General features: G+C 41.0%; 2 long non-coding RNA genes across 2 annotated transcripts in view; both read right to left on the bottom strand.

Annotated features, from left to right (window-relative positions):
• The window catches only part of XLOC_008559 (uncharacterized LOC105378427), a 44,833-nt gene that overhangs the window by 9,084 nt on the left and 17,777 nt on the right, over positions 1 to 17,972 (bottom strand). The window lies entirely within an intron of this gene.
• On the bottom strand, positions 1,773 to 17,027 carry LOC107984252 (uncharacterized). The gene is made up of 3 exons (XR_001747547.2): positions 16,695 to 17,027; positions 2,206 to 2,474; positions 1,773 to 1,829 (listed from the first exon to the last, which is right to left on the bottom strand). It is a non-coding gene; the product is annotated as an uncharacterized LOC107984252 (long non-coding RNA).

Here is a 17,972-nt window from a genome sequence, read left to right as displayed (position 1 = left end):
ATTTGATGCCCTCTTCAGCGTCTCTTTCCATTTAAGTTCTGAGCCCGTTTATGTGGATGGAGCAGAGATACTGCTATGTGTTCGCCCAAGTCCTACTTCTGAGCACAAAGGAAAGCTCATTTCCGAGCTTCCCAGCCACTAGATGTCATTGACTGAGCCCTGCCAGTGAAGTGCTAGGCTGGTGATCAAGGCCACTTCCATGAATGCATGGAGCAGAGCCTTCCTCACGCCTCCCTCATACAGCCATACCCGACTGTGATGGGCGAGGAGCAGATCCTTCCTCACGCCTCCCTCATACAGCCATACCCGACTGTGATGGGTGAGAAACAAACCTTTATTGTGTTACTCTAGCGAGATCTGGAGATAGTTTGTCACAACACTCAGAATAGACTCTTACATCACGGTTGGAAATACTAACTTTGAGGAATTCTTAGTTTGTCTGTCTACTATAGCTCAAAGTTCAGACTTTGAGAATATTTCTTGTTGACCATAGATGTGCCCAGAACTGCTCTGATCTAATGCAATGCTTATTGTCTGGTGTTCCAAGAATGGCTTCTCTGTATGCAATGCTTGAGTTATCTATTTTTTAATATGCTACCTGAGTTTCATTGCATAGCAGGGGTTTAAGTTATGTAGCTTAATGATGGAGTTATGTTCTGAGAAATGTGTCATTAGGCAATTTTGTCATCGTGCAAGCTTCAAAGAATGTACTTACACAAAGCTAGATGGTGTAGCCTACTGCACACCTAGGCTATATGGTGTAGCTTATTGCTTCTAGGTTGCAACAGCATGTTACTGTACTGAATGAATACTGTAGGCAATTGTAACACACTAGTGTTTGTGTATCCAAACATTTCTAAACAAAGAAAAAATACAGTAAAAATATAGTACAAAAGATATAAAGTAATACACCTACATAGGACACTCAACACGAATGGAGTTTGCAGGACCAGAAGTTGCTCTGTGTGAGTTAGTGAGTGATGAGTGAATGTGAAGGCCTAGGACATGACTGTACACTATCGTAGACTCTATAAACACCTAGTGTACACCTAGGCTACACTAAACTCATTAAAAATTTTTCTTCAATAATAAATTAACCTTAAAAATTAAACTATAACTTTTTTTTTTTTTTGAGACAGAGTCTTGGTCTGTCGCCCAGGCTGGAGTGCAGTGGCACCATCTCAGCTCACTGCAACCTCTGCCTCCCGGGTTCAAGCAATTCTCCTGCCTCAGCCTCCTGAGTAGTGGGGATTACAGACACCCACCACCACACCTGGCTAATTTTTGTATTTTTAGTAGAGATGGGGTTTCACCGTGTTGGCCAGACTGGTCTCGAACTCCTGACCTCACGATCCACCTGCCTCAGCCTCCCAAAGTGCTGGGATTACAGGTGTGAGCCACCGCACTCAGCCAACTATAACTTTTTACTTTATAAACTTTTAAATTTTTTGAAAGTTTTGAACCTTTTGTAATAACACTAAGCTTAAAACACAAACACTCTATGGCTGAACAAAAATATTTTCTTTCTTTATATCTTTATTTTGTAAGCTTTATTCTAATAAAAATTTTTAAATTGTCTTTTACTTTTTAAACTTTTTTAAAAACTAAGACACACACACATTAGCCTAGGCCTACGCAGAGTCAGGATCATTAATATCACTGTCTTCTACCTCCACATCTTGTCCCACTGGAAGGTCTTTGGGGCAGTAACAGGATGGAGCTGTCATCTCCTATGATAACAATGCCCTCTTCCGGAATACCTCCTGAAGGACCTGCCCAAGGATGCTTTACAGTTAATTTTATTCCTTTATAAGTAGAAGGAGCACAGTCTAAAATTGCAATAAAAAGGATAGCATAGTAAATACATAAATCAGTTACACAGTCGTTTATTATCATCATCCAGTATTATGTACTGTACATAATTGTATGTGCTACACTTTCATATGACTGGCAGTGCAGTAGGTTTGTTTACACCAGCATCACCACAAACACATGAATAATGCATTGTGTACTACGTTATGACGGCTACTTCACTAGACAAGAGGAATTTTTCAGCTCCAGTATAATCTTATGAGACCACCATAGTATATGTGATCTATTGTTGGCTGAAACATCGTTATGCAAAGCATGACTATATTAATAGTTCATAGCATTTTGGTACACACAATGTGAAGAATTCTTCCCCATTGCACAAAATTCACTCACCCCTGGTTCTTCTCTGCTTAGCAGTATCAAACGTTCTCCAAGCTCAGACTTACTTGTTCCCATCTTGGCATGTGAGCCACATATACCTATAGGCAAGCCTGGAAGATATCAGCCTTCTTGGACCTCCCATGGAAGATCCCTGCTATACATCTTCAGCAGCTGCACACCATCAGGACAAGTTCTTCATAGTGAGACATCGTCAGCTGCCCATAAACTGAGACCACTTCTAGACCCAATAGGTTTAGGAACAGCTCACTTACTTTTGAGAACTGGCAAAAAGGACAAATATGGATCAGTGAACAGAGCATGGGATTAGGTTGTGACCTGCATTTTAGTTCAGGCTCTCCCACTAACTTGCTGGGTGACTTTGGACAAGTGGAAACTTCCCTTGGCCTATGTTCCTTGTTTTCTCATCTTAATATACAGATAATAAATATTACTTTCTCTGGCTAACCTGTCAGGGCCCTTTAATTGTTACAAAACAAAAATGTATAGCATACATAGAAACATGGAAAAATTACAGTGGGAAAAAATATTAAAAATTATTTTAAGAAAGCTCATTTATAATCAGATAGTTATGTGTTATGGGCTAATCAGACCTCTGCCAGAAAGAGTTGCTTTTTGAAAATGGACATTATTTTCTTGGGGTCTGTTTGACAGTTTTCCCACCTTAGTGCACATATGAAACTGGAACAATGATCTGTGAGTAAGAAAGACATCATCAGTTTTCTGGATAGCTTGTTAGATTAGAGGTCTTGGTCAGTTAGTACTGCATTCCAAATGTCTACTCAACAGCATTAAAGTCAAGTTGGCCTATAATGAAAACTATTAAAACCAAGATTGGACAATTCCATGTCTATGAATTTATCTTATGAGTAGATAAATATGAGAAATGACACACATAAGAGGATATTCACTGTTTGGAACAACAAAAGAGTAAAAACATCTATATTTGCACATAAGGGGGACTGGTTAAGCCAACTACGGAAATCTGTGCTCTAGGAAAACGTATAGCTCTATGAATGCTGGAACTCTGATACACTGATATGGAGCATTCCCCAAGAAATTTCATTAAGTTAAAATGCAAATTGCAGAACAGTGTGTAACATACAATACCATTTGTGTCAAAAATTTTTAAAACATGTATTTGCTAGAGAATGCGTAAAATATCTCTGGAAGAATATGAAAATGCTGTTTTTATTGTTTGCCTCTGAAGAAGAAACTGCATTAGCTAGGAAAAGATTATGAAGGGGCCATTTGTGTTTTTTACATTTAAAATCATATGAATATATTAACTATTCAAAACAAAGCAAAAATAAAATCAAAAGCATGATTAGATCCAGTTCCTTTTTTACAGTGATTGGGTAATTGTAGTAAATATCATAAAATGTACTATTTTAACCAGTTTTTAGTGTACAGTTCGGTGGTGTTTACTACATTCACACTGTTGTGAAGCCATCACCACCATCCATCCATGTCCAGTTTATTTTTGATCCAAAGCTGCTGCACATTTCCATAGAGGACAAGAAACTTGTGCTTCCCTCCCCAGGAGGAAAAACTAGAATATTTCTGACAGCTTCTCTATCCTTTGCTCCCCTCTCCAAGGGTAGGTGAATGACTAAGCTGATGATTTGGAAGAAGGACTGAGGTTTAGCCTTTTCTGGGTTTTCTCTTTCACAGCATCTTGCTTCAGGACACATACATTTTCTGCTCCTCTAACCAGTAAACTTACTTAGGCAGATCTTCCCTCTGCACTGGAAGGCCTGCAGATCTGAGAAGGTGAGGACAATTTGGGAAGAAGGTGTGGGAAGCTCATTTGGGGTGGCTCAGAAAGGTAAGCCCTAATGTGTCCAAGACTGATTCTCACTCATCAGCCTTCTAGAAAAGGAGCTGGATGCAAAGCTCCTTGGAAATGAATTATAGCTGTGGGTGGAAGGCAGCCAATCCCAGTGAATCCCAAGGGTTGGACCTAGCCTCCTGAGCAGGCCAGGAGAAAGGCAGTGGCTTCCCAATCATGAATGCTGGGGGAACAGGTCATGCTAATGTGAACCCAGAAAATTTGAGACAGGTCTCAGTTAATTTAGAAAGTTTATTTTACCAAGCAAGGTTGAGCACACGTGCCTGTGACAGCCTCAGGAGGTCCTGACATGTGCCCAAAGTTGTCAGAGCACAGTTTGGTTTTATGCATTTTAGAGAGACATGAGACATCAATCAGCATATGTAAGATGAACATTGGTTTGGTCTGGAAAGGTGGGACAACTCAAAACAGGGAGCGAGTTTCCAGGTCATAGGTAGATATGAGACAAATGGTTGCATTCTTTTGAGTTTCTGATTAGCCTCTCCAAAGGAGGCAATCAGATATGCATTTATCTCAGTGAGCAGAGGGATAACTTTGAATAGAATGGGAGGCAGGTTTGCCCTAAGCAGTTTCCAGCTTGACTTTTCCCTTTAGCTTAGTGATTTAGGGAGCCCAAGATATTTTTCCTTCACACTGTGAAGTTGCCACAGTACACAGCAGCAATGGCCAGGCATAGACCTAGCTTTCTGGTTATGCAATGGGAGGAGCTCATGTTCCTCCAGCCACAATCCCTGAGCTGCCATGCCAGAACCTTATATTATCCTTATACTGTACTGTGACCTCTACTTACTCCAGAGGAGGGCTTGGCATTTCTTTATTAATGCAGCTTTAAAATTTCTCAGCCCAAAGGGCAGAGTCCCTTTCCTGAAAGTTGATGTCTGATTCCACCGATCACTTTGTTCTTCTTTAGAAGGCAGTGGGCACTGGGGATCCACACACCTGCTGCTATTCTTGTCTTTGTGGTCTCCCCCAGGAATATTGCCCCAACAGAGCGAGTGTGTCTGCTGTCTGGTTGTTTACTGTGTGTATATGACAATTTCCAAGCCAGTGCTAGTAGTAATAAAGTTGACGTTTTCATCTTTAGTCTCCTGTATCTAAATCTCTAAAGGTTCCAAATTCAGGGAGTGGAGATAGAGGACTGACTTATCATCACCTGCTTAAACACTAAGAATTTTTTCATTAAATTGCTAAACTATGACTTTGGCTACCACCTGCTCTTGTAGAGTTTCCCTCAGTTATTTCAGAAAATCCCCTATGACAGACTCTTATGTTTAATAATGATACTTCATGCCCTTGCCACTACTGCCTGTGGTCCCAAGGGATCACTGCCCTGTGGCGCATGGTGACATGTATGATGCTTTTACCATTCAGGCCTCAGGAAAGGGCTCTGCTCTGCCCTTCACCACCAGGACCCAAACATGTCCCAGGCATGTTCTTCTCTCCCTACCACCTTGCTTAGGCCAGGCTGAAAGTGAATTGAAATGGACTCAAGGGTTGGGGAAGCACAAGAAGAGAACTTAGAGAACTTAGATGTGATTTCTCTGAATCTGCAGGCCAACCCACTGCCTTCTGCCTAAATGTTGACCTGCTTACAAAGTACACGCTCATGCCCACCACTGAAAGTACTCAAAGCCTGATCAGGCTCATCACCAGAGGCCCACAGAAAGAGATGAGTTTCTCCTCCTCTCTAGTCTGTAGTCTACCTTCTCAATCCTTACTTCCTGTCATAGGATCTACTTCTTCCCAGGGCAATTGACAGTGGTGATGTTCACTCCTTTCAAGAGAAACACCACCCTCCGTCTATTGGGGTTTTACATGTTCCTCTGTGCCCCACTCCCTACCAGGCAATTGAATGATAACACATTGGTCTAATAATGGTACTTTCTAGGCTAATCTCCAGCCTCTTGGGGTAATAGTAGCTGCATTTTAGAAAGTAGTATTTATTTTACATTTTCGTACTGTAGACTTCTTGAGATGATATCCCTAAAAACAGAAGTCTTTATCTTTCTAGTTTAAATTTCTATATTTTGAATGACTGAAAACTACTTGTGGCTTTAAATGTTCTGTTTGTCCAGGCTGTATTAACTAAGTTCCAAAAAATCTCAACCTGGATACCGCATTACATGCTAATCACATGCTAATCCAAAGTCTTTAACATCACTTGCAAGGCATAACCTATTTGGGCTTATCCCACCAACACATATGAATGCATCTCCCATCATCTCAAACACACATATCTCTCCTCAGATCCAGGCACAGTCCTCCCAGGAGAAGCTACACTTGCACCTTTACTCATGCCACCCTCCTATCTGGAATCCTCCTCATCACTCGAAATTTCCCCCATTTGATGAAGTCTTTTAATTTATTCCTTTGGATTCCTACAAGGCACTTCTCATCCATCCAACCCATCCACCTACTCAACAGGAGCGCATTGAAGTCCTAGAGTATGCAAGATGCTATGCTGACTCTATGGGGTTTCCATAAATGTATAACACACAGGGCCTCCCCTAAAGAGTTTATAATTTTGTAATAAAGTATAGAAACAGCAAAGTCATGTTTCCCTTCAAGAATACCTCACATTTCTTTTCTCACCTCAAATCTTTATTACTCCTTCTCCTGTGCCCCATCCCCGATAGTCAGAATAGTCATTTTGTGATTCCAAATTCTCTCCATGTTGTATAGAGAAAATGGATCAGGCAAAGGCTTCCATTCAAACTCTAGATCATTCTGCAATTATCCCCATTCTTTCCTGCAATATCAGTTTTTCCTTGCTAGTGGTTCATTTCCATTTGCAAATAAATATGCTTAATATTATTCATTAAAAAACCAAAACCAAATTCACCCCTTGGACCCACACCTCCTCCAGCTCCTACCACCCTTTTCTGTTCTTCTTTGCAGCCATACTTTCAAGCAGGATGAATATATCCACTGTCATTGCTTCCTTTCTCTTTTTCTTTTCCTTTTCTTCTTCTTCTTCTTTTTTTTTTTTTGAGACAGAGTCTTACACTGTTACCCAGGCTGGAGTGCAATGGCGTGACCTCGGCTCACTGCAATCTCTGCCTCCCAGGTTCAAGCGATTCCCCTGCCTCAGCCTCCTGAGTAGCTGGGATTACAGGCATGCACCACCATGCCTGGCTAATTTTGTATTTTTAGAAGAGACGGAGTTTCACCATGTTGGTCAGGGTGGTCTCGAACTCCTGACCTCAGGTCATCTGCCCACCTCGGCTTCCCAAAGTGCTGGGATTACAGGTGGGAGCCACTGCACCCGGTCCATTGCTTCCTTACCTCCAAGACTATCCTAAATTCTCTCCAGAGTTGTTCATCCACCACTCTAAGAAAATGGCACATGTCAGAGTCACCAATGGCTGAGGCTTTTGACCAACCCCACCTTTGACTTTCTTGACCTCTGCTATGGTTTGGATGTGGTTTGTCCTCACTAAAACTTATGTTGAAGTTTAACTGCCAGTTCAGTTGTATTGGGAGATGGGGCCTAGTGGGAGGTGTTTGTCTCATGGGAGCAAATCCCTCATGAATAGATTAATGTCGTGGGTAGGTTCTCACTCTCTTAGGAATGGATTAGTTCCTGCAATAGCAGGTTGTTATAAAGTGAGATTACTCCTCCTGCATGGCCTCTTTGTTTGCATGTGCTTTCTTCTGCTCTGCATTCTGCCATGAGTTATAGAAGCATAAGCCCCTCACCAGATACAGCTGCCCAATCTTGGACTTTCCAGCCACCAGAACCATGAGCTAAATAAACTTCTTTCTTTATAAATTACCCAGATTCAGGTATTCTGTTATAGCAACATTAAATGAACTAAGACAACCTCCCAGCTGGGCTTGGCCTGACTGACTCCCCTTCTTCCATGGAATCCTTTATCAAGGTTTCTGGGCTACCACCTGCCTAGTTTCCCTCCTATGGCATTGCCTGCTGCTGCTTGGCCCTCTTTGCTGATTCTGTTTTTATACTAAATTTCTAAATGTTGAAGACCTCAGAGCTTTGTCAGGAATCCTCTTCTCTTCTTTTCCTTCTCTATAAACTCTTACCTTAGGAATCTTCACAGTCTCTTAAAGTTATGCACTAATTATACCCAAAACTTACATGTCCAACCCAGAACTCTTGAGCTCCAGACCCATTTATCCAACTGCCTACATCCATTAAGATGGTAAATGGACATTTCTAGCTTAACCAAGCCAAAAAAGCCCTATTAATTGCCCCCTACATTACATCTCCCCAAACAACAACAATCATTTGCTCCATGTCAAGTCTTTCCTATGTTATTAAGTGATGACACTTGCCAGGAGCAGGTCCAGGTTTTATGGTCCTGAAGCTTAAACAATTTGGGGAGCCCTCTTTCACATAAAAAATACAAAATTTAAATACATATTTAGTATGAAAGTATTTGTTTAGTCTGAGAAAAGGAAACTACAATGAATTACAAATTTTTAATTACTGAAAAATACCACAATAATCACAAAGTCAAGCAAGATAAAATTAAATTTTATTAATTACCTGCCTGACAACTCTCTATAATACCTATAATACTTCTTTCCTACCCTTTGGCTGCTTGCTCTTTGATTGCCTTTTTGTGTTACAACAATTTTATAATATGTTCTATAGCAAGAAAAGGATAAAAATTTAGATCACGTCTCTTGCAAGGTTAATAAAAAATTCATTTAAAAAAATTATGGATAGTTTCAAAACATTAATTTTAGCTTCACAACTCCCTACTGGCATTATTTAAATAAAACATACTTAAGACTAGATAGTTGCACACTTTGGACTGATCAGAACTGTGTCAATAAGAGTTGTTCCTTGAAAATGGACCTCATTTTAAGAAGGTTTATTTGGCAGTTTTCAGTGCCTGGGGCATGTATGGTGATATGGAAAAATGGCCCATGAGTAGGGTCCATATCACTGCTTATCCAGGTAGATTTTCAGACTGGAGTTCTTGATCACTTAGTGTGTCGTCCAAAATATCTGCCCAGCACTTCAGTTTATGTTTTTTTTTTAAAATATGTCATAGACATGATTAAGCAATTCCACCTCTAGAATTTATTCTACAGGTAGATTATTTTTCTTTCTTCACACTGCATATGCAACCCATCAGCAATTCTCGTTGGCTTTTTCTCCAAATGCTTTCCTAAATTGAGTTCTTCTTATCAGCCTCAGTGTTGTCCCCTGTTCTAAGCTGCAGTCACTTCCCTCGTGGATGACAGCAGTAGTCTATAGCTATCTTGCAACTTGCTAGCTTATTTTTACTTCCCTATCATCCACTGCCCCTACCTCACAGCACCCAGAAAGATATTTCTAAAGCAAAACTCAGCTCTTGTCATTCTCCTGCTTAAAACCTCAGATGGCTTTGAATCATGCTGAAAATAATGTGCAGCTCCCTCAGGGCCTCATAAATATGGCCTTGCCCATTTCTGGACCTCACTTTCTTCCACTCTTCCCCTTGGTCATCATGCTCCAGCCCCACAGATCCTCTTTCTGCCACTCAAACATGCCAAGCTTATTTCCAACAGGACCTTTGCACATGCTGTTCCTCCCACTTACAACATGCCTGACCAGCTCTGCAAAACAACTATGCTCATCCTTCAGGCTCAGGTTAGGCAGCCCCTCTCACAGGGGCCTCTCTCATTGCCTTATCTCACATAGCACTCTCCCTCCAGGTTTTTACCATATGCTTCCTTTTATAGCATTTTTTTTTTAGTATCAAGAAGTATCACATTGTATATATTTTTATACATTTTTGTCTCTACGAGAATATTGGCCCTCAAACTGAGATACACAGGCCTCCTGAGGTACATGAGGCCTTTTAAGGATATAAGGGTATAAAGAATCAGTTTTAAGGGAATCTTTTTCCAGATACCTAATTTCCGTATGAAATTTACCTGCAATGGAGACATTACGCTGGTTCTCCATTTCCCATTCCCCTGTCACAGTCGTGCTTCTCTTATGAACATGCCACTCACTCAGCCTGAACTTACTGTGGGTATAAAAAAGTCTAGGGCTGGAAAAATGGGGCAATTAAAAATAAAATATTTCAAAAGTAAATGACTTTAATGACAGGATTTTAAAAAAATCTTTTCCCAAGCATTATGGTGTTTCCCAAGCATTATGGTGTTTAATGATTTGCTTCAGGAAAATTAAAAGAGGGCCAAATATTTTTTTCAAAGATCATTAAAAATTACTTTAACATGGATCACTATGTGATTTTCTGAATATAACTTAGAAGGCACTCAAATGATTAAGTGGCATTGAGAAAGCAAAATGTTTTCCATCTAATTTCCTTCTAATTATTTATGTAAACCAAGTTTCTTAATGCTTATATTTATAAAAACAAAACTGAGAAATAGAATTGATGTTGAATCCTCTTATTCTAGCAATAAGTGATATTTATCCATAAATATACAAACCAACTGTAAAAACAGTCCTGTTAAGTTTCAGTAAGAAAGGACTATTCAATAAAATTTTATTTCTTATGTTTAATAAGTACTCACTAAAATTTATAATACAGTTCTGTTGTTTTGATCAATCAGGTTTTAATATCTATTGTATGTTAACTGAATCCCGATGAAAATTTTAACACTAAGAACTTTACAGTCACAAGAATAAAAATAATGAATTTCAATTGACAGAAGTATATTTGTTCAAGATAACTATCAACAAAAGAACTTTCAAATTTAAAAATATATTAGGATGAAATTATACAGAAGAAATGGAATGGAAATACCAGTCAAGAGAGAAAAGGAACAAATTAAAATTTGCGATTATTAAAATGAACTTTTCATACTTTTTTTTAAATGAATAATGTTCATATAAATAAGAAGAATTGGTTGGACATACAAAATGCTAGAAACCCAGCTTCCAAAATTGCATCCAGAGGGTCAAGTGTTATTAGGGACTTTATAGACTTTTCCATCTCAGTAGGAACAGAAAACTTTTATTACATATACTTCCGTGTGATTATCACATGTCCAACTCCGGTGTGTTTTCCAACACTTTATGTAAGCAAGCAGGGGCTGCCTGAACTGTCCTTCAACTCCACAGGGCCTGCTTGTATGCTAGTCACTCAGTGGTGACAGTCATAAGATTAAAGCAAACAAACAAACAAATGAAAAATGTTCTATCTCAGCCAGATTGTAGGCAGGAAGGCTCTTTTAACTCAGAGAGGGATTTCTTCTAGGAAAACTAGATGGGAAGCCCACTCCCCTCATAAGAAAGAGAAAGACAAACAACCTTTGTTTTTTTTTTTTTTTTTTTGAGACGGAGTCTCACTGTCGCCCAGGCCGGAGTGCAGTGGCGCGATCTCTGCTCACTGCAAGCTCCCCCTCCCAGGTTCACGCCATTCTCCTGCCTCAGCCTCCTGAGTAGCTGGGACTACAGGCGCCCGCCACCACGCCCGGCTAATTTTTTTTTTTTTTTTTTTTTTTTTTTTTTTGGATTTTCAGTAGAGACGGGGTTTCACCATGTTAGCCAGGATGGTCTCAATCTCCTGACCTCGTGATCCGCCCTCCTCAGCCTCCCAAAGTGCTGGGATTACAAGCGTGAGCCACCGCGCCCGGCCAACAAACAACCTTTTCTTTGCTTGAGATGTGGTTTTCTGGAATCAGAGTAAGAGTAAAAAATGGCTTCAATAGACAAAGATTCCTGTCAACTAATTGCCATAGAATATAAGACTTAGATCAGCTGCTCAAAGCAAATGAATTTTTAAGTGGCTTTATGGCCCTAAAGCATTCGGTCACCTAGGGGTACAGCCTTGTATGAGTCTATTCTTGCATTGCTATAAAAAGATATCTGAGACTGGGTGATTTATAAAGAAAAGAGGTGTAATTGGCTTACAGTTCTGCAAGCTGTACAGGATGCAGAGCGGCTTGTCAGGAGGACTCAGGAAATTTTCAATCACGGTGGAAGGTGAAAGAGAAGCAGGCACATCTTAGATGGCCGCAGCAAGAGCAAGATAGAGAGCAGGGAGGTGCTACACGCCTTTTTTTTTTTTTTTTTTTTTTTTTTTTTTTTTTTTTTTGAGACGGAGTCTTTCTGTCACCCAGGCTGGAGTGCAATGGCGCCATCTCTGTTCACTGCAAGCTCCGCCTTCCGGGTTCACGCCATTCTCCTGCCTCAGCCTCCCGAGTAGCTGGGACTACAGGCGCCAGCCTCCACGCCTGGCTAATTTTTTGTATTTCTAGTAGAGACGGGGTTTCACCGTGGTCTGGATCTCCTGCCCTCGTGATCCGCCCGCCTCGGCCCCCAAAGTGCTGGGATTACAGGCGTGAGCCAACGCGCCTGGCCCGCTACAAGCTTTTAAACAACCAGATTTTATGAGCACTCACTCATTATCATGAGAGCAGCACAAAGCGGGAAATCTGCCTCCACGATCCAGTCGCCTCCCACCAGGCCCTTCCTCCAACATTGGAGATTACAATTCAACATGGGATTTGGGCAGGGACACAGATCCAAACCATATCAAGCCTGCACTCATTTATCCTGCAGGTGTCACCTTTGTTCTGACTAACCATTCTAGCAGTGACTACACAAGTGGCCTGCATCATTTCCCGACTTTAAAACTGCTCTCATTAAACTGTGCTTTGGTGTTTTGTCATCAGGATGTTATAAGAAACAATCCCATGAAATCCATTAATTCATTGTCACATTTATTGTAGGAATATGGTTGAGGGTGTGAATCACCATTTTACACAGCATCTTCCTTACAAGCAGCCCAAGGTAGAATTTTTTTTCAAGTATCATAATCGGGAATATAGTTTTATTTCTTCTGAGCATCTGGGTGAGTTTTAATCTTGTGGACACTCTGGCCAACATGACTAAGCAGCTTTTGCCCTGTACTGATGGCTGTGAAGTTTGAGTAGACGGATCAGCCTGTACCAGCAAGTATCCTGGAATTCATGGCAAACATTTTTGTGAATGTGTGCTCACTTGACTACTAGCTTCATTTTTTTCTTCACTATTTTTTTTTCACCCTACTTTTCTCATATACTGAATTAATCAGGACCTTCAGCCAGGTCAGAAACTCAACATAATTGAAAAAAAAAAAAGAGAGAGAATCTATGATATCTACTAAGAAATCCCAGGAATCAATCTAGCTTCAGCCATGGCTGGATCTGGGAACTAAAAAACAAACAAAATGAAAAAATCTCACATTTCAGCTATAAGCTGTCTCTCTCTCCATCTCAGAGCTCTTCTCTCTTCTGTGTTGACTCCATTCTCAGATTCCTGCCTCCCTGCCCGGGGGCTCTGGCAGCACCAGGCTATTGTCCTACAGTTAGAAGTGCCAGCGGAGGCCGGGTGTAGTGGCTCGCACCTGTAATCCCAGCACTTTGGGAGGCCAAGGAGGGCAGATTACGTGAGGTCAGGAGTTTGAGACCAGTCTGGGCAACATGATGAAACCCCATCTCTACTAAAAATACAAAAATTAACCACGTGTGGTGATGGTGCATTTCTGTAGTCCCAGCTACTCAGGAGGCTGACACATGAGAATTGCTTGAATCCAGGAGGCGGAGGCTACAGTGAGCTGAGATCGAGCCACTGTACTCCAGCTTGGGGGACAGAGGGAGGATCTGTCTCAAAAAAAAAAAAAAAAGTTCCAGTGGAAGAAGAGCTTCTCTTTCCCCATCATTTTGACAAAGTCCCCAGGATTGAGTTTCTGTGAGTCACTTGGCCAAGCCACTGCGACCAGATGGATGGAATTTACCGATAGGGCAGGTGTGGATTACATGCCTTCACTCAGAGCTTGTGATGAAATGGTACCAGTTCCACCTGAGAGGTAGATCATTTCCCCAGAGAAAATAATAAGGGTAAAATGGATATGAGGCAGGCAAAACCACAACCCACCGTGTCCATTTACATTCAATTTTAACTTTTAAACTGAAGCATATACACTTTTATAAGCCCCTTATAAACTTTTTAGAACAAAGTGAACCATTGAAAAATAAATGGGAAATCAAATCGTAATTTGTCAGTTGCTTACGGAGAATAAAATCAGAACAAAGGAATTTGTGTGTATGGTTCAAGTATTTTATGGCTTTGGGCTCTTAAGGGCTGAATCATCTGTCAGTGCAACTAGGAACAGATAAATCACATCTGTGGGTCAGCCCTGGAGACAAATTGCAGGTGCTTGCTTCCTGCACTTTCCTTTTATACAGCTACTGTTGTCCAGCTATTCTGACCCCTCTTGGTTATGATAATACTATTCACTCTGTGCTGTTTCAGACAAGCCAATGTTGCTAGAATTCCTGGGCCTTGCTGCTTCAGACCTGAAAGGCAATCTGTCTTTTATTTGTCTTTGTATATATTTTGTCACATCAATCACGGACTGAATTTATATTTAACTCCGAGAGCTTGAGGGGTAGGGAGGATGCTGTTGAACCAATTAAACACTTACAATGGAGACGAAAGATTACTCTTTTCTTTTTACAAATGTTGTATGCCAGAGGCAAGTTGGAAGGTTGAATGCCCTTAGTTGCTAGTGGTGATAGGGCAGGCTTTGCCACCAATTGGCTAGCAGTCTAAGATAGGGAGTGGTAGAAATGAATAAAACAATTACACTGGATTTGTGCTGTACTCTCAGAATATAGGAAAGTGTCACTCGAGCAGTTTCTCTAGAAATCATGAAGAAGGCAGTGTAATTAACATTCAGATTCAACTATCTGCTAATATCTTCACAGTGTCTCAGGGGACAAACATTTCTTGGACTCCTATAGAAGGATACTGCTAGAATTAACATTAGCACTTGTATTTCATTGTTACGAGGTTGGCTGGATCTTTACTCTTCTCTGCCTCCTTTCCTCCACCTGGGAAGGGGAGAAATTAGGGATAACAGGATTCCTCATTGTCAGTTAACACCAGAGAGCTTCACGATAACCCTGAGCATGGAAGGGACAAACAGTCCCTGAGCTCCATAAGTCCAGAGTTATTATTTCACAAGAATGAGGACCAAAGTTCTGTTCAGATGGGAATAGGATCTGCTCACATAGGCTACTGGGGTATTACCAGAAGAAAACAAGTCCTCTTACTGGTGAATAGTGTCAGATTTTAAAATATTAAGGAGGAAGCTAACGGTAACCTGAAATGGAAGTCTGTCTTTTCTGTCCCTCTACCTTCACTCCGTTCTCATTCAGCCGCATCCTCTCCCCTCATCCATGGAAACCAGAACTCATGCTCCCAACCTCACCTTCTACTCTGCAAGATCAGCATGGATTGGCCAGAAGAAAGAGAGAGCTGGGGAGAGGGAGGCATCCACCATGAGGCCCCAGGTCCCCGCAGGCTGTAAGGACTGCAAGGTGATTAGAGGATGGGGGGACCAGAAGGACAAGGCATGGATAACTCTCTTCTTCATCACATCCTTGCTTATCACTGCTTGTTCTACTTGGGATCTTTTTTGGTTTTCTTTTTTTAGGGACAGGGTCTCACTCAATCACCAGGCTGGAGTGCAGTGGTGTAATCATAGCTCACTGCAGCTTTGAACTTTTGAGCTCAAGTGATCCTCCCCACACAGCCTCCTGAGTAGCCTGGGACTACAGGCACACACTACCACAGCAGGCTAATGGTTTTGTTTTTATTTTTATAGAGACCGAGTCTCTTATTCTCCTCAGGCTGATTTCAAACTCCTGGTCTCAAGCAATCCTCCCGCCTCAGCCTCTGGAAGTGCTGGGATTTCAGGTGTGAGCCACTACACCCAGCCTTTAGTTGGGACCTTTAAGGCAACTAACTGAAAGTTTTAGAAAAGAACTACATAGCTTCTTTGATGTCCAATATGGGTTTGTTTTAGGAAAATGGGGCACGGGCATCGAATGAGCATCAGCAGCTCCCTTCCTGTGTCTCGGTAGAAACAGGATCCAGGAAGCCAGGATTGTCTGTCCAGAAAATAGCTCTGTTCCAACAGTTTCTACTTCCCAAATGGCTCCCTAGAGTCACATGGTGTGGGAGAGAAGAGGAAAGATGGCTAAGTAGTTTGCTGCATGTCTACCTGTCTGGTCCCATAATGAATTGAACCTTCCTTAAGGAAAAGCTCATTTCTTGTTTGTCCTTCCTGTCTCCCCTCAGGTGGTAACCAGATTCAATATCTTGCCCAGTGAGACTTTGCAATAAATGATTATTAATATTTATGCCAAAATCAAAAAATAACATTTATTGAGCACAGTCTCCCAGATTGGCTTTATGCTAATGGTGGTAGAAGATACAGGACAAAGTATTATAGGTGAGAAATACTGCTCTTAAAGAGTTAAAAAATATAACAAAAATAACAAATCGCATAGACATAAAAAGAAAGCTAACAATTTAAGTCTTTACAGTGAGAAAAGCTTAGAGAGATTCAGTCACATACACAAGGCATATAGATGGTAAGTGATGAAACAAGGATTCTAGCACTCTCCAAAACATCAAAACATTTAGCCAAGGAAGGCAGTAGGGAAGGGATTCTGGGGCATTAACCAAATAGCTCCAGGAAAAAGGTTTCTGAAAAATTAGCATCAAACCTGGACTAGGGTCTGATCTTCTAACTCCTGGTCCAAATTATTGTGAGATCTGGAAATTATTTTTTTTAAGCCAAAGATGTCTGAGTAATAGGCCAAGGTTGACTTTTTCTTATTGAGCTAGCTCTTTCTCAATACTCACCATGGTTAGCAGGTCTTCACACTGTCATTAGTTCTGGCTGACTCTCTTAAATGATGTCTTTAAGTCAACAGGTCAACTGTCTTCAGAAACATGATGAATGAGGGACACAGGAGGCTTCATGCCTGGTTTAAAACTTTCAGGGAGTTGACAGTTTTCAATCAACTTCTCTCTTGTTATCCAAATCTTTATTGGTTTGTTTGTTTTTCTTCCTGGTGATCCTAAGGCACCCAAAATTTAAGCTTCTTAGGCATCCCACAGCAGCTAAGTCTATTAAAACCAGAACCACAAGTAACTAAAACCCAAGACTCAGTGTTGTTAGGGAAAAGCCTCACTGAGAGAGCTGCACTTTGCAGCAGACTTTTTCATCAGTTTGTCCACTCTGCCCACACCCCCTCTTCATAAGAGGGAAGCAGATATGTAGAGATAAGAGGCCATGTGCCTGGGTCGCTGGCAAGAGGGATGTCCTGGTGGCCCAGCTGCTGATGCCAGTGCCCATGGGGCCTGCTGTCCTGTCTGCCCTTGGGTTCCACTTTTCGTCTTAAGATCATTTTAATGGTCCTGAACACAGACATCATTGCTCTTTATCCATTTGTCACTAGAGTCCTTTATTACATTTTGTGAGTTTTCATTTACATCTTTGCTGTACCGCTCTAGGTTTATGAGTTTACTTACCTAATTGGAGTAGTTACTTGGTTTTGCTTTCATGTAATCAGAACAAAATACATTTGGCTTATCCACAATAGAATATAACAGTAAGCCAAAAAGTAAATTGCAAGTATTTGGGGAGATAGGAAAAGATTATCTTCAGTTATAAATCTGAATTCTATCTCTAGTCACAAATTGTGAAGGGGGTTTCCAAATAGCTTTTAAAAAAATTGCTTGTTTCTTTTATTTATACAGGATCACCACATTCCATTATCTTAACTCTTAAAGTCTCTGAACTGGGAATGCCATATGGACTAATTCAATTGTCATTTTACAGATCAGGAAATTGAGTCTCAGAGAGGTTAAATGTCCCATTAGGCTGTTTGGCCCAGGAAAGGTTATTTTAGGCCAGCGCCTCCACCCCTGGCCTTGACATCAGTGGGAAACAGATGTTTCTACATCTCTTCTGTTAGTAGGAATTTCCCTAATTGCTTTGGGCAGGGGATCCCATCTTTGATGCAAGTCTTTAGGGACAAATGGGGGTCTTTTCCTTGCCAACAACTCATTTCTGTGTGATAGGATGTTGTGAAGTACTGACTGAGGTTTTTCCTGCTCTTGACTTTCATTTATGAC

Source organism: Homo sapiens, chromosome 10 (genome assembly GCF_000001405.40).
Source record: "Homo sapiens chromosome 10, GRCh38.p14 Primary Assembly".
Taxonomy (NCBI): domain Eukaryota; kingdom Metazoa; phylum Chordata; class Mammalia; order Primates; family Hominidae; genus Homo; species Homo sapiens.
The sequence above is the reverse complement of the archived record's forward strand: the minus strand, read 5'-3'. Positions and strand labels throughout refer to the sequence as shown.